The 20,288-nt window shown below is 46.0% G+C and overlaps 2 protein-coding genes across 5 annotated transcripts in view, besides 2 other annotated features; both read left to right on the top strand.

Annotated features, from left to right (window-relative positions):
- UTP6 (UTP6 small subunit processome component) overlaps positions 1–9,325 on the top strand; it is a 40,805-nt gene extending 31,480 nt beyond the window's left edge. For 2 of the 3 annotated variants that reach the window (NM_018428.3, XM_047436390.1), the window contains 3 exons: positions 2,117–2,183; positions 4,791–4,863; positions 6,713–9,325. In NM_018428.3, coding sequence (NP_060898.2) covers positions 2,117–2,183; positions 4,791–4,863; positions 6,713–6,870 — 298 coding nt within the window. In that variant the 3' untranslated portion in view covers positions 6,871–9,325. The remainder of the gene's footprint in view (positions 1–2,116; positions 2,184–4,790; positions 4,864–6,712) is intronic. The other variant, XM_011524997.4, reaches the window with a different exon arrangement.
- Positions 10,835–11,264: a silencer, noted in NCBI's record as "silent region_8414". NCBI's record gives its function as "represses an Ori minimal core promoter by ATAC-STARR-seq in GM12878 lymphoblastoid cells {active_cell/tissue: GM12878}" and the evidence as "EXISTENCE:reporter gene assay evidence [ECO:0000049][PMID:35858748]".
- On the top strand, positions 10,985–18,358 carry COPRS (coordinator of PRMT5 and differentiation stimulator). Of its 2 annotated transcripts, none has more exons than NM_018405.4 (4): positions 10,985–11,128; positions 13,364–13,430; positions 17,199–17,417; positions 17,921–18,358. In NM_018405.4, the coding sequence occupies exons 1-4, from the start codon at positions 11,030–11,032 to the stop codon at positions 18,088–18,090; spliced, it is 555 nt and encodes a 184-aa protein (NP_060875.2). In that variant the 5' UTR covers positions 10,985–11,029; the 3' UTR covers positions 18,091–18,358. The 2 variants fall into 2 exon arrangements, with proteins under 2 accessions (NP_060875.2, NP_001317105.1); NM_001330176.2 differs by lacking the exon at positions 10,985–11,128 and adding an exon at positions 11,267–11,471.
- Positions 11,324–11,998: an enhancer, noted in NCBI's record as "H3K27ac-H3K4me1 hESC enhancer chr17:30185250-30185924 (GRCh37/hg19 assembly coordinates)". NCBI's record gives its function as "activates a minimal SCP1, AML or CMV promoter by ChIP-STARR-seq in naive and primed H9 embryonic stem cells {active_cell/tissue: H9 hESC(naive and primed)}" and the evidence as "EXISTENCE:reporter gene assay evidence [ECO:0000049][PMID:30033119]".
- Positions 18,359–20,288: the final 1,930 nt, after the last annotated feature.

Genomic DNA, 20,288 nt, shown 5'->3' with positions numbered 1-20,288 from the left:
TAAAACAGATCTGCCATTTATCTCAGCAATCCCATTACTAGATATATACCCAAAGGAAAACAAATAATTCTACCAAAAAGACATGTACTCGTATGTTCATCACAGCACTATTCACAATAGTAAGGACATGGAATCAACCTAGGTGCTTATCAACAGTTGATTGGAAAAAAAACAATGTGGTAAATATACTCTATGGAATACTATGCAGCCATAAAGAACAACAAAATCATGTTCTTGGCAGTAGCGTGGATACAGCTGGAGGTCATTGTCCTCAGCAAGTTATCACAGGAACAGAAAACCAAATACCACATGTTCTCACTTGCAATTATAGCTAAACATTGGGTACACGTGGATATAAAGACAGAAATAGTAGACACTACAGGATAGGGGGAAGGAGGGTAGGAGGAATGGAGGAAAGGGCTGAAAAGCTACCTATCGATTACTGTGCTCCTTACCCAGGTAACAGGGTCAGTCTATCCCAAACCTCAGTGTCACGCAATATACACACATAACAAACCTGCACATGTACTCCCCTGAATCTAAAATAAAAGTTGAAATTAAAACAATACATGGCTGATGGGCCAGGCACTGTGGCTCACACCTGTAATCCCAGTGCTTTAGGAGGCTGAGGTGGGAGAATTGCTTGAGTCCAGGAGTTTGAGGCTGCAGTGAGCTATGATTGTGCCACCACACTCCAGCCTGGGCAACAGAGGGAGAGCCTGTCTCAAAAAATAAAAAAAAAAATAAAGAGGCCAGGCGTGGTGGCTCATGCCATTCCTGTAATCCCAGAACTCTGGGAAGCCAAGGCTGAGGTGGGAGGATTGCTTGGGCCCAGGAGTTGAAGACCAGCCTGAGCAACATAGCGAGACCCTTTCTCTACTAAAAATGAAAAGCAATTAGCCAGATGCAGTTTGCACCTATGGTCTCAGCTATTCTGGAGGCTGAGGTGGAAGTATTGCTTGAGCCCAGGAATTCTAGGCTGCAGTGAGTCATGATCTCAGCACTGTACTCCAGCCTGGGTGACAGAGGGAGACTTTGTCTAAAAGGAAAAAATAAAAGAGAAAGCTGTATGATATACCACTCTGTGGATGCAGTATAACTTTATGTTTTTGTTTTTTGAGATGGAGTCTCACTCTGTCACCCAGGTTGGAGTGCAGTGGCTTGATCTTGGCTCCCTGCAGCCTCCGCCTCCCAGGTTCAAGTGATTCTCCTGCCTGAGCCTCCCAAGTAGATGGGATTATAGGTGCCCACCACCACACCCAGCCAATTTTTATATTTTTAGTAGAGGCAGGGTTTCACCACGTTGGTCAGGCTGGTCTTGAACTGACCTCAGGTGATCCACCTGCCTTGGCCTCCCAAAGTGCTGGGATTACAGGTGTGAGCCACCATGCCCGGCCGTGGATGCAGTATAACTTTTTTGGCCACAGTAATACTGTTTTGATGAATATTTCTGCACAAATATTTGTCCATATTAGAAATCATTTCCTTAGAATATATTCCTAGAAATGGAATTACTGATTTCCCAAAAGACTTTGACATGTAGTTGAGGGAACTTGAAAACTCTACAATTGATAAAGAAGAGTACAGTAAGAAAATTAAACCAGGCATGGTGGTGCATGCCTGTAATCCTAGCACTTTGGAAGGCTGAGGCGGGAGGATTGCTTGAGCCCGGGAGTTTGAGACTAGCCTGAGAAACCTAGTGAGACCTCTTCTCTACAAAAAATTTCAAAAATAAGCTGTGTGTGGTTATGTATGCCTGTAGTCACAGTTACTCTACAGGCTAAGGCAGGAGGATTGCTTGAGCCTGGGAATTCAGGGCTGCAGTGAGCTATGATTGCAATACTGCACTCCAGCCTGGGTGACAAAGTGAGACCCTGTCTCAAAAAAAAAAAAAAAAAAAAAACCAAAAAACTAAGAACTGGGTATGAAGAGAAAGTCATTAGTGGTCATAGAATCGTGAGAATGACTGGCCATCAGGTCAAGTCCTTGCATTGATTTGAAGTCAAGTCTTTATTAAACCATGTGTTGTGGAGGCACTGGTCTCGGTATTTACAGTTATGAGATGTAAGAGGCTTTTTGTCATTGTTGAAGATAACGTTTTCTCCTTCCTTTTTAGTTTACAGGAGAGCCGACCATTTTCAGTTGACTTTTTCAGGAAAATGATTCAGTTTGAAAAGGAGCAAGTAAGTGTTCTGTTTCAGCATTTCTTGTCTGGGAAAATGGATTAGTGGTTACTAATCTATCAGACTGTTTTTTGTTTTTTTGTTTTTTTTGAGGCAGAGTCTCGCTCTGTTGCCAGGCTGGAGTGCAGTGGCGTGATCTTGGCTCACTGCAACCTCCATCTCCCAGGTTCAAGTGATTCTCCTGCCTCAGCCCCCCGGAGTAGCTGGGACTATAGGCACACGCCACCATGCCCAGCCAATTTTTGTATTTTTAGTAGAGATGGGGTTTTACCATGTTGGCCAGGATGGTCTCTATCTGTTGACCTCGTGATGTGCCCACCTCAGACTCCCAAAGTGTTGGGATTACAGGCGTGAGCCACCGTGCCTGGCCCGGGAGTGTTTTGTTATGTAAAAAGCTCTCATTATAATACAGTATAAATTTCTGATCCCTTGGTCTAATCCCTTTTCCATAGAGCTGGTTTAAGAACGGTAATCAAGCAAAGAGAAAGTATATGTTTGGGGAATAGAAAACTTACATGTTACTTTTTTTTTTTTTTTTGAGATAGAGTCTTACTCTGTTGCCCAGGCTGGAGTGCAGTGGTGTGATCTCGGCTCACTGCAAACTCTGCATCCTGGGTTCAAGTGCTTCTCCTGCCACACCCTCCCGAGTAGCTGGGATTACAGGCACGGGCTGCCACGCCCTGCTAATTTCTGTATTTTCAATAGAGACGGGGTTTTGCCATGTTGGCCAGCCTGGTCTCAAACTCCTGACTTCAGGTGATCCGCCCCCCTCAGCCTCCCAAAGTGCTGGGATTACAGGTGTGAGCCAGCACGCCTGGCAGGCCAAGTATCTGTTCTTATTCTACAGTATAGAACAGTTTTATAGTATAGGAGATAGTCTAGCCTAATATGTAATAGCCAGGCTTTGGATTTATAACATGATAGTTAGGTGCCTTGAGCAAGTCACTTAATTCTAAGCTTCCCATCCTCATCTGTAAAGGAGGTCATTATACCTGTTTCAGGGGTATGAGAGTTGTAAGGCCAAATGGGATACTGGATAGAAAGGACGTTGCATAATGCCGTGCACATATGAGCCATTAAACAGGTGTGATTCTGTTTTTCATGCATGTCTAAAATATGAGGTTAAATTGACTTTTTTTTTTTTTTTTTTTTTTTTTTGAGACAAGAGTCTTGCTGTCTGTTGCCCAGGCTGGAGTGCAGTGGCGCGATCTTGGTTTACTGCAACCTCTGCCTTCCAGGTTCAAGCGATTCTCCTGCCTCAGCCTCCCGAGTAGCTGGGATTACAGGCCCCTGCCACCGCACCTGGCTAATTTTTTTTTTTTTTTTTTAGACGGAGTCTCTCTCTGTCGCCCAGGCTGGACTCTTGGCTCACTGCAACCTCTGCTTCCCAGGTTCAAGCAATTCTCTTGCCTCAGCCTCCTGAGTAGCTAGGATTACAGGCATGCACCACCATGCCTGGCTAATTTTTGTATTTTTAGTAGGGACAGGGTTTCACCATGTTGACCAGGCTGGTCTTGAACTCCTGACCTTGTGATCCACCTGCCTTGCCTCAGCCTCCCAAAGTGCTGGGATTACAGGTGTGAGCCACCGCGCCTGGCCCTAATTTTTGTATTTTTTGTAGAGACTGGTTTCACCACGTTGGCCAGGCTGGTCTCAACTCCTGACCTTGTGATCTGCCTGCCTTGGCCTCCCAAAGTACTGGGATTACAGGCATGAGCCACTGCACCCGGCAAGAATACTTTTTTTTTTTTTTTTTTTTGAGACAGAGTCTCGCTCTGTCGCCCAGGCTGGAGTGTAGTGGCGCGATCTCGGCTCACTGCAAGCTCCACCTCCTAGGTTCACGCCGTTCTCCTGCCTCAGCCTCCTGAGTAGCTGGGACTACAGGCACCCGCCACCACGCCTGGCTAATTTTTTGTATTTTCAGTAGAGACGGGGTTTCACTGTTGTAGCCAGGATGGTCTCGATCTCCTGACCGTGTGAGCCACCGTGCCCGGCAAGAATACATTTTTAAAAATAGGTGGAGAATGAGCAGTTTTTGGTTGTAAAGTTAGTTACAGCTATTCTGCTAGGTACATAATTCATCAGCATTTTAATCTAATACTTATAGTTGTGCTAAGAGATATTAAAGCTTGTTTTATAGGTGAGGAAATGTTTAAGGTCAAAGGGTTCAAAAACTTGCTGAAGGTCATATAACTAGTATTTATTTTAAGGTGGATATAACAAATAAGTACCAGAGCCCAGATATTCAAAAGGAAGAAATCCTTACTCAAAGCGAATAGAACCTTCGCTGTTTCTTTATTTAATTCCCACTCATTCCTCAAGACTTTCAAATACTGTTTTCTGTGAAGCTGCCCATGTCCCCCACTTTTTTCTAATAGCACTTTTCTCCATGCTACTACAGCAAAGTGCTTTTATGTTTCACATATGTACTTCACTCTGTTGAGTGGCTTTGATTTTTTTCCTAGAAAAGTTGAGAGCCAAGTTGTGTTCATGTTAAACTCTTCCCTTCAAATACCTGACAGACAGTAGCTGCTTAACAATATGGTTGGAATGAATTTGTTATGTTATAAATCAGGCTTTTGAGACAAGATTGTCTATCTTTGTCAGGAATCCTGCAATATGGCGAACATAAGAGAATATTATGAGAGAGCTTTGAGAGAGTTTGGATCCGCAGATTCTGGTAAGTAAACCCTTAATTTGTGACCAATTAGTATGGTTAGAACAGTGTTTCTTGGCTGAGTACAGTGGCTCATGCCTGTAATCCCAGCACTTTGGGAGGCCAAGGCAGGCGGATCACCTGAGGTCAGGAGTTCGAGACCAGCCTGGCCAATATGGTGAAACCCCGTCTCTACTAAAATAAAAATTAGCTGGACATGGTGGTGCGCACCTGTAATCCCTGCCTGGGAGGCTGAGGCAGGAGAATCGCTTGAGCCTGGGAGACGGAGGTTGCAGTGAGCTGAGATTATACCATTGCACTCCAGCCTGGGCAACAACAGTGAAACTCCGTCTCAAAAACAAACAAACAAACAAACAAAACTGTTTCTTAGTTTTTTGATTTGCATCATAACCCTCTTTTAAAATAAAACTTGTTTCCTTCCTCTGCCTCCTCACTTGCTTTGTGTATACTATCATTTCAGGATCATAAGTTCAGGGGTCCATGGGTCGTCTGTTAAGAACCCTAGATTTCTCAGGAGCCTGAGACCAGCCTGGGCAACATATTTAGATCCCCATCTCTACAAACAATAAAAAAAAAAAAGTAACTGGGTATGGTGGTGCATGCTTGTGGTCCCAGCTACACAGCAGGCTGAGGTGCGAGGATTGTTTGGGCCCCAGGATGTTGAGGCTGCAATGACTGTGATGCCACCATTGTACTCCAGCCTGGGCAATACAATGAGATCCTGTCTCAAAAACAAAAACCAAAAACACCCCCTCTGGATTAGAGAAAGATTTGCATGGTTTTGTTTTCTTAAAAAAAATGTATTTAGAGTTACATGAAAGGGGTAAACGTGAGATGCTAATTGGCGTCTGTTGTTGACTATCTCCACATTGCCCTCATTTGTAGGACTTGTACAACATACTTCTGGGTATAGGTATGTCATGTAAAATCTGTGGACTTTGTGAACTCATAAACATTGATTTGTTTATTTTTATTTTGTTTTGAGACAGAGTCTCACTCTGTCACCCAGGCTGGAGTGCAGTGGCGCAATCTTGCCTCACTGCAATCTCTGCCTCCCAGATTCAAGCGATTCTCGTGCCTCAGCCTCCCAAGTAGCTGGGAGTACAGGCACGCGTGCCACCATGCTCGGCTAATTTTTGTATTTTCAGTCGAGATGGAGTTTCGCCATGCTGGCTAGGCTGGTCTTGAACTCTTGACCTCAGGTGATCCGCCCGCCTTGGCCTCCCAAAGTGCCGGGATTACAGGTGTGAACCACTGTGCCTAGCCAAAAAGTTTAGTATTTTTGAGTTCATTGAATAAAATAGACTTTTATGATTGATGTGAAGGTTTTCTACTGGGAAAAAAAACAAAAAACAAAAAAACAAAACTGATGAGGCACAGTGGCTCACGCCTGTAATCCCAGCACTTTGGAAGGCCAAGGTAGAAGGATTGCTTGAGCCCAGGAGTTCAAGACTAGCCTGGGCAATATAGTGAAACCCTGTTTCTACAAAAAATAAAAAAATTAGCCTAATATGGTGGTGTGCCTGTGTTCCCAGCTGCCCTGGAGGCTGAGGCAGGAGGGTCACTTGAACTCAGGAGGTTGAGACTGTAGTAAGCCATGTTCCCGCTACTACACTCTAGCCGGGGCAACACAGTGAGACCCTGTCTCAAAAAAGAAAAAAACACACAAAAACAAACCAAAACCTGCCACTATACTTTAAAGAAGCTAAGAGAGGTATTGTTAAACAAAGCGTCCTAGGGAAGTAACAATGAGAAGTTAAGTTTCTTAGAAATCTTGAGTTGAATTGATATTTAATAAGGTTACCTAATAACACTCTGTCAGTTATCTAATTGTATGTTTTTTTTTTAAAAGATCTTTGGATGGATTATATGAAAGAAGAATTGAACCACCCCCTTGGTAGACCTGAGAACTGTGGACAGATCTACTGGCGAGCGATGAAAATGTTGCAGGGAGAGTCAGCAGAGGCATTTGTAGCTAAACATGCTATGCATCAGACTGGCCATTTATGAAGATGAAGAATACAGTCAGCTTTGTGAAATAGTATTGCAAGCAAGCCCCGTGGGCAAATTTGTATTGAGTCCATCTGTAATTTGCTCAGTGATGGCAGACAAGATGGCTGTCTGGTTTTGAGACACACTTTAATTTTATGTTAACTTGTTAAATCTTTTTAAAAATTAAAAAATTTTTATGATTGAGACTGGGTCTTGCTCTGTTGCCCTGGCTGGTCTTGAACTCCTGGACTCAAGTGACCTTCTCACCTCAGACTCCTGAGTAGCTGGGATTATAGGTGCATGACACTGCTCAGTTTGATGTGCTAATCTGATTCCAGTAAAGAGAATTGCTGATTTAATGTTGAGGCCCGATCTTCCACAGGTCCTAAATGTTTCCCAAAATACATGGATAGCATACGACTGGGTTTTTTTAAAATTATCCCAGGTCAAGCATGAGTATCTCTAATCTCGACCTAAGAGCCAGTTAAAATGAAGGAGAAAGTGGCCAGGCATGGTGACTCAACGCCTGTAATCCCAGCACTTTGGGAAGGCTGAGGCAGGCGGATCACCTGAGGTCAGGAGTTTGAGACTAGCCTGGCCAACATGGTGAAACCCCGTCTCTACTAAAAATACAAAAATTAGCCAGGTGTGGTGGTGGGTGCCTGTAATCCCAGCTGCTTGGGAGGCTGAGGCAGGAGAATTGCTTGAACCTGGGAGACGGAGGTTGCAGTGAGCCGAGATCATGCCATTGCTACTCCATCCTGGGTAAGAAGAGCGAAACTCCTTCTCAAGGAAAAAAAAAAAGGAGAAAGTACAGTTTTGTTGGTTTATTCTCATTATAAAAGATACGTGGTATGCATTTGTTCTGGAAAATATGGAGGAAATAGAATAGTGTGGTAAAAAAAAGCATCCTGTCACTGGGAGAAGCTTTCAGTGTAGCTTATTGTTACGTTTCACTTAGTATTGTTTTTCTGTGTCATTAAATAGCCTTAAAAACATTTAATGAATTCGTAACATTACATTGTAAAAATGAGCCATAATATATTTTACTAATCCTCTGGTTAGACTGTCTTTTTTTTTTTGAGATGGAGCCTTGCTCTGTCATCCAGGCTGGAGTGCAGTGGCTCCATCTCGGCTCACTGCAACCTCCACCTCCCGGGTTCAAGTGGTTCTGGCTCAGCCTCCCGAGCAGCTGGGTGGGATTACAGGCACCCGCCACCGCGCCCAGCCAATTTTTGTATTTTTAGTAGTGCGGGGGTTTCATCATATTGGCCAGGCTGGTTGCGAACTCCTGACCTCATGATCCACCCGCCTTGGCCTCCCAAAGTGTTGGGATTACAGGCGTGAACCACTAAGCCTGGCCTGGACTGTCATTTCTAATTTTTTTAAAAATTAGATAAATGCTGTTGATGAAGATTCTTGTCAATCTTTGTTCACATCCCTGGCCATTTCCTTAGGAGATTGACATCCGACAGTGGAATTACTGGATCAAAGGATACTGCTTTTAGAGAATACTGATATGTATTGCTGGTTTGCTCCTTCTTTCAAGCAATACATGAAAGTGTCAGTACCCTTACCTGTACTGGTGTAATTATATCTTTTATTTTTACCATTTTATAGGTGAAATGTGATATGTCATTGTTTTACCATACTTTGATATTAGTGAAGTTAGTGTATTTTATGTTTCTCATCTTTTTACATCCTTAGACTATTTAAAAATTTTTTTTCTTACTAATTTATGAGTTAATTTTTTTTTTTAAATTGGACAAGTTCTTGCTTTGTCACCTAGGCTAGAGTGCAGTGGTGTGATCATGGCTCACTACAGCCTTAACTTCTGGGCTCAAGAGATCCTCCCACCTCAGCCTCTTGAGTAGCTGGGACTGCAGGTGCACACCACCATGCCTGGTTAATTTAAATTTTTTTTTGTAGAGACTGGTCTTGCTATGTTGCCAGGGCTGGTCTCTTAAACAGTTGGGCTCAAACAATCCTCCTACCTCAACCTCCCAAAGTGCTGGTATTATAGGCATGAGCCATTGTGCCTGGCCAGAGTTTTTAAAAACATATTCAGAATATTAATATCTTGTTTCTCATTTGTTGCAAATAATTTTACCCCCAGCCTTGTTTGTGGTGATTTTTTTTTTTTGAGACAGAGTCTTGCTCTGTGGTCCAGGCTGGAGTGCAGTGGTGTGGTCTTACTGCAACCTCTGCCTCCTAGGTTCAAACAGTTCTCCCTGCCAAAGCCTCCCAAGTAGCTGGGATTATAGGCACCTTTTGTGGCGATTTTTGATGCCCAGAGGTATTTTGTGTGTGTATGTGTGATGTCTGTTTTTAAAATGCTTTGGAAGCTCTTCCTGGTGCTGAGAACAACTCTTTTTCCCCAAGCAGTTAATTTTGCCAACACTATTTGGGCAGTTATGTTTCTCTCTGCTGATTTGTGATGTTACCTTTATTATATATTAAATTTCTATGAGTATTAGAGTCTACTTTAGAACATTTTTATTTTAAGCTTTTGTACTGTTTTCTTTTTCTTTCTGGTTTTTTTTTTTTTTAGACCAAGTCTCACTCTGTCGCCCAGGCTGGAGTGCTGTGGGGCAATCTCTGCTCACTGCACCCTCCACCTCCCGGGCTCAAGTGATTCTCCTGCCTCAGCCTCCCGAGTAGCTGGGATTATGGGTGTGTGCCACCACGCCTGGCTAATTTTTGTATTTTTAGTAGAGATGGGGTTTCACCATGTTGGCCAGGATAGCCTTGAACTGACCTCAAGTGATCTGCCTGCCTCGGCCTCCCAAAGTGCTGGAATTACAGGAGTGAGCCACCGCGGCCAGCCCCTGTTTTCTTGTCATTTGTTTTAAAATAAGAAAAAAATTCCTCTTTTTCCTGTCCCTTAAGTCCTGGGATGTTTAACATTCTTAATCTTATTTGGCACTTTAATTTTACGAAAGAGATATGTAGATTAGGGAGCAAAGAGGATAGTGGTAGTCTCCTTAACACAAGGCTATAAGGGTGGTCACCTGGGGTCATCACATCCCTGTATCTGATTCTCAATATTGCAGGTTATGAAAACACATCTAGCTAGTACACCTAGAGTTGCACTGTTAGAAACAGTAGCTCCAAGGCACATGTAGCAATTTAAATTTATTAGAATTATTCAATTTATTCACATTGGCCACATTTCAAGTGCTCAGTAGGTATATGGTTACTATATTGGACAGTACAGATAGTAGAACTTTCATTTCCACTTCCACCATTAAAGAACGTTCTATTGGACATTGCTGACCTAGAGGCAGTTAGCCTTGGGGATACTGACTCCTGTGTAGGAACATCTACATATAGAACAAAAATAATATCGAATATTGTGTGTCAGTTTTATGCTAAATTTTTTCAAATGCCTTTTGTGTTGTACAAACAACACAGTCTTTGAGGGGGATGAAGGAAGAGGGTCTCATGTCCTGATGTTGACGTGATTAGCACACCTTGAGCTGGTTTGTTATTAGAGGTTAGGCACTGTGGGGAAGGCAGGGAAGGCTGTCTTTCCAGTTGGGCTGTTCCCAGCTCAGGCCCTGCCTATCCCCAGAAGCCACCTTTCGAGGCAAAATGGGAAATAATTAGGTTGTCGGTATCAGGCGTTGAGCATGGAAATACAGGAATCCCGAATGTTCAGGATTATTATGAGTAAGCGTCGTGGCCTGTATTCTGTGTCCACTGCATATTGCAGTTTGTGTCTTAATCATCTATCTTGGTTTCTAATGGATTAACTTCAAAGACGATCATTAGCTCAAGGTGGAGGTCACTGGGTTGCTCATGTGTCTTACCCACGCGGGGTTTTGAAGCTGGAGCACACCCCGAGTGGCCGAGTAGGGTACGCTTGGCGTTTCACACGCAGCTAGTCGTGCAGCCTTAGGATATGCACCGAGAGGAGTTTCCAAAATCCGTCTCCGAGATTGTTTCAGATTTCGCGCTGGGAGGGAGGGGCGGGCTCCGCGAGGCCGCGCGCCCCGCCCCCTGCGCCGCCCCGCCCCCGCTTGCTCGTGACACCCCCGCGCCCCGCCCTCTTGGCCGGTACCCACCCCCTCCCCAGGCTGATTGGCGCTTCTGCGGCGGATCCTCGGGCGGGCAGCCGGGCCGGCGCGTCACGTGGCCCACGGCGTCCAGGGCGACCAGCCGCGGGCCGCAGGGCATGGACCTTCAGGCCGCCGGGGCCCAGGCGCAGGGGGCCGCGGAGCCGTCTCGGGGCCCGCCGCTGCCTAGCGCGCGGGGGGCGCCCCCCAGCCCGGAGGTGAGCGCCGCGTGGGGGCCAGGAGCAACAGCCAGCCGCAGCCTGGGGCGGGAAGTCGCGGGGCCGGGCTGGGCGGGGGCCGCGGGGCCGGGGAAGCGCCTCTGGCCGGCCTCGGGCCGCCCCGCGACACGGAGCGCTGTTTGGGCTCGCGCTCGAGCTGAAAACGGCCAGGCCGCGGGGCCGCGGGGCTGCGGGGCGGGGAAAGCCGAGGGCGTGGGTGGGCGCTCTGGGTCAGCAGAGACGGCTGTCCGCCCGCTGGGCGCCGCTGCGGATTTGGTAAATGGGAGGTGACGCTGGTGACCGAGAGCCGGGGCCCGCTGCCAGGAGCCTGGGCGAGGGCCAGGTGAGGGCGGCGAGGAGAGGGACTTGACTTTACAGACCTGTGGACCTCTGTCCGTTGGTGGGGATGCCAGCTAACCCTGAGCCCCAGATGTCACATGCGCGCTCCCCCTTCTCCTTACTGAAACCAGAAAGGCCCTGTTTGACGCAGGGTTTCCAGAAACTTGTTTTCATGTAAGCTAGACAGCTCCTGGTTTTCCCGAGAACGTTACAGACCGTTATTACAGTTCTTACCTGTCCTTGTTTACAGTCTGTACCGGCTAGGTGCTGAGCGGCTTGAAGGTAGGAACCCTCTGTTAGGGCTGTTTGCACAGCCTAGCATAGTGCCTGGCACAGGAGATAGACATACCGACTGGATGAATGATGCCTCAAAGATGGTACTTAGCCAAAGTAAGATATGAAAAATGCAGCGACACTTACAAAGAAAATTACTTTGGAGTGCAGAATAGAATGGGACTAATTTTGTCAGGGCATAGCAGGAAAGGATCAAGGTGAGAGGCTGGTGGTGTCTGCAGAGGCGTGGAGATGAGAAAGTGCAGGGCACATGGCCTGGAGTTGGGTCTCAGAGCATGCAGAGAACTATGCTCAACAGGTTGATGGGAGTGGGAGAAGAGGGGACGTGCGAATGCCATGGCTAATTTTGTGCTCTCTCAGTGGAGGGCTGTTGAAGGTTTTGAGCAGAGTAGTGATTAATTCTGTAAGGCTGGGCCAGATGGCTGGATGGGAAGGTGGTTAGGAGGCCGTGGCAGTGGTTTAGGTGAGAGGTCTGACTTCTCCTTGGGCGGCAGTGACCAGAGGTTGTCACTAACTACAGGGAGTGGAACTGAATTATTAAACCCAGACATGACTAGATAATGAATGCTGATTGGAGCAGGTGCCGAGTACAGTTTAGATGTAGCAGAAAAGATGAATTTAAATTCAAGAAATGTTACATTCTTGCCACATGCCAGGTGTTTTCATAAATGGTGTCTAATCATAAGTCCCCTGCAGGGTCAGAACAGTCACCCCTAATTTCTGGAGAAGAAAACTCAGGCACAGTAATTGAAGTGATGTGTTCAAGGTCACACTCTGAATGGATGGCAGAGCTGGGATCAAAATCAGGTCTTTTATGCAGGCAGGGAACATTTCGTGATTCATTAGAAAGAGGTCTTGGAGGTCATAGGGTTTCAGGAACTTCTGAGTGATGGGAGCAGAGAAGCATTTGGTTGGCTGTGCGGGAAGATTTTCAGTTAGATTAGAAATACTGCCTTCAGTGCTCAGCATTGCAGAGGAATTATAAAGCTTCCCCCACCTCAGTGTGTTGGTGAGGAAACAGAGAATTTGATAGAGTTGTTTACTAGCTATAAAGTTGTTAAGTAACTGAAAAGGTAAAACGTGTACCTGGGGGTGGCAACCGCAGGGAACAGCTACCAACCTATGGCTGAAGGAACAAAGAGATGAAGTTGATTAAAATTTAAAAGCTTAGGGAAAAGGCTCTGCAGAGCTGAAATTCCAACCTTTAAGGAGAAGGCACTGCCCCAGCTGATGGTAGGGGGTCTCTGAGCTTGGAGGAGAGTCCTGAGACCCAGACCTCTAAAGAGAAGGTGCAGTGATAAGACTGGCTCTGCAAGAGTTCGCAGAACTGTATACTGGATTCTGTGGCCACTATAGGAAGGCATTCCTGCTGCCACGGTGAAGTGTCATGAGGTGATGCCTACATGAATAGGAAGGAACAAGGCCCATCTCCCTCCAGCCTTGCTCAGTTTAACAGGGCAAAGTAGAAATGTGGGTGGCAGAGTCCCAGCCCTGCATCACCAAGGGGAGTATGGAAGAGTGGGTGGGGTTGAGATGCAATAGCTGAATACTGGGCATACCCCAGATACCCAAGTCCTTGGTAATCATTTCTTCTTCCTGCAGGCTGGCTTTGCTACAGCTGACCACTCCAGTCAGGAGAGAGAGACTGAGAAGGCTATGGATCGACTAGGCAAGTAGATGGCAGAGACGGAAGTTGGGGAGACCAAGGATGTGAGGAGAGGAATAGTCCCTCTGTCTCATTTACCTTCTCTTTTAGCCAGTCCTCTCTGCTGCTTAGTGGCCTTCTCTGCCCAGTTGAACAGTAACCTCCTTTGGAAGCCTTGCTTGGAGCTTCCTTAAGGGAAGTCCTGAACTTTTCTTATGTTCAAATCCATCCTTCTACCGAGAGAAACAGCTTGAAACGGTGAAAATAGTACAGCAGTCTCACCTTATTCCTAGGGGATACATTCTAAGACCCCCCCGCCCCAATGGATGCCTGAAACTGCTTTTTTTTCCTCCTATATATACTATTTCTGATATGGTTTAACTTATAAATTATGCATATGTGATTAATAACAATAGTAATATAGAACAATTATGCCAGTATACTGAAAGTTACGTGAATGTGTTCTCTCTCAAAATATCTTTTTTTTTTGAAACGGAGTCTCGCTGTGTCACCAGGCTGGAGTACAGTGGCACGATGTCAGCTCACCGCAACCTCCGCTTCCCAGGTTAAAGCAATTCTCCTGCCTCAGCCTCCCGAGTAGCTGGAACTACAGGCACGCGCCACCACACCCAGCTAACTTTTGTATTTTTAGTAGCTATGGGGTTTTACTATGTTGGCCAGGCTGGTCTCGAACTCCTGATCTCAAGTGATCTGCCCACCTAGGCCTCCCAAAGTGCTGGGATTACTGTGAGCCCACGCTCCCAAAGTGCTGGGATTACAAAGGCATGAGCCACTGTGCCCAGCCCCCTGCCGTTTTTTTTTTTTTTTGAGAGGGAGTTTTGCTCTTGTTGCCCAGGCTGGAGTGCAATGGCACAATCTTGGCTCACTGCAACCTCTGCCTCCTGGATTCAAGCATTCTCCTACCTCAGCCTCCCAAGTAGCTGGATTACAGGCATATGCCACCATGCCCAGCTAATTTTTGTATTTTTAGTAGAGATGGGGTTTCACCATGTTAGCCAGGCTGGTCTCGAACTCCTGACCTCACCTGATCCATCTGCCTCAGCCTCTCAGAGTGCTGGGATTACAGGTGTGAGCTACCACGCTTGGCCCCTTTTTTTCTTTTTCTTTTTTTTTTTTGAGATGGAGTCTCACTCTGTCACCCAGGCTGGAGTGCAGTGTCGCAATCTTGGCTCACTGCAACCTCTGTCTCCCGGGTTCAAGTGATTCTCGTGCCTCAGCCTCCTGAGTAGCTGGGATTACAGGCGTGCACCATATCGCCTGGCTAATTTTTGTATTTATTTATTTATTTATTTATTTATTTTTTGAGACGGAGTCTCGCTCTGTCTCCCAGGCAGTGGCACTATCTCGGCTCACTGCAAACTCTGCCCCCTGGGTTCACACCATTCTCCTGCCTCAGCCTCCCGAGTAGCTGGGACCACAGGCACCCGCCACCACGCCTGGCTAATTTTTTGTGTTTTTAGTAGAGATAGGATTTTACCTTGTTAGGATGGTCTCGATCTCCTGACCTCGTGATCTGCCCTCCTTGGCCACCCAAAGTGCTGGGATTACAGGCGTGAGCCACTGCTCCCGGCCTAATTTTTGTATTTTTAGTGGAGAGGGGCTTTCACCATGTTGGCCAGGCTGGTCTCAAACTCCTGACCTCAGGTGATCCGCCCACCTCGGCCTCCCAAAGTGCTGGGATTACAGGCATGAGCCACCGTGCCTGGCCTTTTTTTTTCTTTTAACTCTCACAACAACCCTATCTTCATTTTACAGATGTGGAAGTTGAGGCACAGAACAGTTAAATAAAAACAATTTAAAAATTGTGGTAAAAGATGCATAACCTAAATTTACCATGTAACCATTTTAACGCATATAATTCAGTAGCCTTTTAGCACAATGGCAGTGTTGTGCAACCATCACCACTACCTAGTTCCAGAATCTTTTCATCACCCTAAAAGGAAACCCTGTGCTCACCAAGTAGTCATTCTCCATTCCTTCCTTCTCTGAGCTCTTGGCAACCACTAATTTGCTTTCTGTCTCTGTGGGTTTATCTGTTCTGGATAGGCAAATGTGAGTTGCCTGTAAAGGGAATCATAACAATATGTGGCCTTTTGTGTCTGGCTTCTTCCACTTAGCGTATTTTCAAGGTGCATCCATGCCGTAGCATGTATCAGCACTGCATTCCTTTTTATGGCTGAATAATTCCATCATATGCATATACCACATTTTGTTTTTCCATTCATCCATTGATGGACATTTGATGTTGTGTCTACCTTTTGGTGATTGTAAATAGTGCTGCTGTGAGTATCCTTGTTTTATTTGAACAGCTGTTTTCAGTTCTTTTGGGTATATGTTTAGGACTGGGATTGCTGGGTCATATGGTAATTCTATATTTATGTTATGGAACTAGTTAAGTAAATTTCAGCTCAATCACACTTTTTTTTTTTTTTTTTTTTTTTTTTTTGGAGACAGGGTCTCACTCTGTGCAATGGCACGATCTTGGCTCACTGCAGCCTCCACCTCCCAGGTTCAAGCGATCCTCCCACCTCAGCCTCTTGAGTAGCTGGGATTACAGGTGCATGCCACTGCACCCAGCTAAATTTTTTGAATTTTTTGTAGAGACAGGGTTTGCGACATTGTTCAGGCTGGCCTTGAACTCCTGAGCTCAAGCAGTCCACCCACCTTGGCCTCCCAAAGTGCTAGGTTTACAAGGGTGAGCTACCGTGCCCGGCCCAGTCCGATGTTTGGTAATTGACAAAACACGGATTTGAAATCAGACAGTCTGGCTTTAGACCCCTTGCTCTGAACTATCACTTTATTGCTTATCACTGTTACTGTTGTTCCAGTATTAAGAGCATGGCTGTTTTAGGCTGATTGCCTTCTCTCCTGGGACCTGGCATCACCAAAGCACTATGTGCTCGGAAATCCATTATCTTTCCCCAGTCTTTCCTCCGTTATTGTGAGGCCTTTTGAAAATGTACCTTCCGGCCTCCCTGATGTCAGAGGGAGGCACTAGGTGCTGCCCATTGTGATTAGATGGGTTCTGGTCTTCTGCCTGCAGTGCCCCTGCTCCCCTTTGTCCCTGTGCTCACCTCTAACATGCTCTTTGAGGCTGAAGGGAGGAATAAAAGAGCAAAAACAACCGGGCACAGTGGCTTACGCCTGTAATCCCAGCACTTTGGGAGGCCGAGGCGGGTGGATCACAAGGTCAGGGGTTCAAGACCAGCCTGGCCAAGATGGTGAAACCCCGTCTCTACTAAAAATACAAAAAAATTAGCTGGGCGTGGTGGCGGGCGCTTGTAATCCCAGCTGCTCAGGAGGCTGAGGCAGAGAATTGCTTGAACCTGGGAGGTAGAGGTTGCAGTGAGCCGAGATGGTGCCATTGCATTCCAGCCTGGGCGACAGAGCGAGACTCTGTCTCAAAAAAAAAAAAAAAAGAGCAAAAACTTAATTCAGGCTTGTATTGTGAAAGTGTATTATTTATCAGAGGCCCTTTGCCTCAGTGACATACAAACCACCTGAAAATGTTAACTGTCCCTAGCCCTCTTTGTAAATTAAAGGACCTGACAATTAATGCCTTGTATAAGACAAAACGTCTTATTGAAAATAAATTATCAGCTCTTTTAAAAACATACAAAGAAGTGCATTTTTAAAAAAGTGCTCGGTGGCTAAAGAAGACTCTGTGCACTTGTTTTACTACCTTCGTAGTAAGTCTGCCCAAAATTTACTGAGCACAGAGCAGGTCCTCTTTGGTTTGTCACTAAGGCCATCTTCTCTTTGTCAATTTAGCCCGTGGAACACAGAGCATTCCTAATGACAGTCCTGCCCGGGGTGAGGGCACCCATTCTGAAGAGGAAGGCTTTGCCATGGATGAGGAGGACTCTGATGGAGAACTGAATACCTGGGAGCTGTCAGAAGGGACAAACTGTCCACCCAAGGAACAGCCTGGCGATCTTTTTAATGAGGACTGGGACTCGGAGTTGAAAGCAGATCAAGGGAATCCATATGGTAGGTGTGGAGTCTCTGGGGGTCCTGAACTAGGCCTTCTCAGACACACCTGTCAGACCAGCCCTGAAGGCAGTTTGGAACAGGGGTCCACATCTATGAGCTTAGGCTGGTATCTGTTACAGGTCTCCAATTTCTGTGACACCTTCTCTTTTATATTGAAAAAATCCAAATTTTGCATTTGACTCCATAATGTATCACTGTTTTAAAGTCAAAACTGTTACTCTCTCCAAAAATCTCTGCTATGAATTGAGCAGCTGCAGATAGAAGTGCTGTGTTATCCAGTTTGCTTCTTCACTGCTAAGAACCCTTGTCTGAGAAGCATAGCTTCTCAGCTGTTCCGAATGAACGCATTTACAATTCTTCAGGAAAGGAGAACTGTGTGTGTTTTTAAACAAAATAAGTGCAAGGATCTGTCCCCTAGACATACCTTTTTGGCTGTCCGTTTTTACCTTCCTTCCTTCCCTCCTTCCTTCCCTTAATCTGTCTTTTAAAACTGCCTGCAGATGCTGACGACATCCAGGAGAGCATTTCTCAAGAGCTTAAACCTTGGGTGTGCTGTGCCCCACAAGGAGACATGATCTATGACCCCAGCTGGCACCATCCGCCTCCACTGATACCCTATTATTCCAAGATGGTCTTTGAAACAGGACAGTTTGACGATGCTGAAGATTGAGTGTGGAGCTTTCTGCCTTGTAGGTGGGCGGGCCTCCACGTCAAGATCTCTTTTCCTGTCTTGGAGGTGAAAAGTCATATCTGAGAAAATGTTTGCAGTGACCCCTAGTCTGGGGTACACAGACCAGTGTTCCTTATTGACAGTGTTCAATAAGGCCCCGTCATTCTCGCCAGTCTGTTGTTGTTCTTAATGGGCTCCTCCTTGAAATGTGTGTGTGTTTGTGTCAAGAGGAGTTGTGTTCTTTGTAAATAAAGGTTAAAAAGAGAAACCAGTATGCTTCGTCTGCTTTTTTCCCATTTATTTATTTATGGAGACAGTCTCACTGTGTCACGCAGGCTGGAGTGCAGCAGCGCGAACTTGGCTCGTTGGAACCTCCACCTCCTGGGTTTAAGCGATTTTTGTGCCTCAGCCTCCTGAGTAGCTGGGACTATAGGTGCTCGCCACCACACCCGGCTAATTTTTTGTATTTTTAGTAGAGATGGGGTTTCACCACGTTGGCCAGGCTGTTCTCAAATTCCTGGCCTCAAGTAATCCACCCGCCTTGGCCTCCCAAAGTGCTGGGATTACAGGTGTGAGCCACCGTGCCCAGCCTTCACTACTTCATTTAAAGTCCCTGAATGACATTTTAAAGATTCAAACGCTTGGAGGCTTAAAACTACTCTGTGAAAGAAAAAAAATTTTAGTTTTGCTTCTGTAGATCTAGCACTGTTGACCAAGGATTGGAATCCAGGAGACACTGGTGATTTTGTAGCTGATTGTTTTCCTGTTGATAGAAAATGGAACATTTACTTAGTTAACAGGCTTTTCCCTAGGCCAAAAACTAAATGGGAAATTAGTTAAACCAGCAATTGCATAATCCTTAATTGACACTAAACTCGGTTTTCCATTTAATATTTTAATCCTTACAATTACTTGTATGAAGTCACTTTTAAAAATTTACCTCACTTTGGCCGGGCGCGGTGGCTCACACCTGTTATCCTAGCACTTTGGGAGGCTGAGGTGGGCGGATCACCTGAGGTCAGGAGTTCAAGACTAGCTGGCCAACATGGAGAAACCCTGTCTCTATTAAACAAAAATTAGCCGGGTGTCATGGTGAACACCTGTAATCCCAGCTACTCGGGAGGCTGAGGCAGGAGAAGGAGTCGCTTGAACCCGGGAGGCAGAGGTTGCGGTGAGCCGAGATCATGCCATTGCACTCCAGCCTGGGCAACAAGAGTGAAACTGTCTCAGAAAGAAACAAAGAAACAAAAAAAACAAAAAACTTTACCTCATTTTGGAGATGAGGAATGCAAGACTCAAAATGTTTTGACCAGGCCAGGCATGGTGGCTCGCACCTGTAATCCCAGCACTTTGGGAGGCTGAGGCAGGCAGATCACCTGAGGTCAGGAGTTCGAGACCAGCCTGGCTAACATGGTGAAACCCTGTTTCTACTAAAAATACAAAAGTTAGCCGGGCGTGGTGGCGTGTGCCTGTAATCCCAGCTACTTTGGAGGCTAAGGCAGGAGAATAGCTTGAACCTGGGAGGCAGAGGTTGCAACGAGCCAAGATCATGCCACTGCACTCCAGCCTGGGCAACAGGGCGAGACTCCGTCTCAAAAAAAAAAAAAAAAAAAAAAAAGGTTTTGACCTCTTCAAGATCACACAGAGTGGCAGAACTGGGACCTAGGTGCATATGTGACTCTGAGGTCCATTCTTGGCCCTGCATGTATGAGAAAATAGCAACACCATCTGGGGCCTCGCCTTGGCAGGTCTGGGATCCACTAGAGTAAGTCACCTTTGGGTCTGACGGGCTCAAGGATTGTTTCTTCCTGCCTCCTTATTGAAGCTGACACAAGAAAAGCTTTCAGATGTGAAATTTTAGTATACTCCATAGCAGTTAATTGAGCATTTAACCATTTAAACTTTTTCAAAGGCCCCACAAGGTGTATGAACAAGGCAGAACCTTGTGAGGGAATGTGGTGGCTTTGGCGGTGAGGGGAGTCATGGCCAAGGCTGTCGGAGGGAGGAAAAAAATGCCCCTTCCACTGTCTTTGCTAAAAGGGCAGTTGTAGATCATATCACCACACCCCCCTTTCTTCCTCCTCTCAAGGTCATAGATGATGAGACCATGAGTATGTCTGGCATAAAAAGGTAAACTTGAGAAACAGAGCCAAGAGATATTAGGGGCTTGAGGAGGACGGCAGAATTGCTGAAATGGA

The sequence above is a fragment of the Homo sapiens genome, chromosome 17 (genome assembly GCF_000001405.40).
Source record: "Homo sapiens chromosome 17, GRCh38.p14 Primary Assembly".
Classification (NCBI taxonomy): domain Eukaryota; kingdom Metazoa; phylum Chordata; class Mammalia; order Primates; family Hominidae; genus Homo; species Homo sapiens.
The sequence above is the reverse complement of the archived record's forward strand: the minus strand, read 5'-3'. Positions and strand labels throughout refer to the sequence as shown.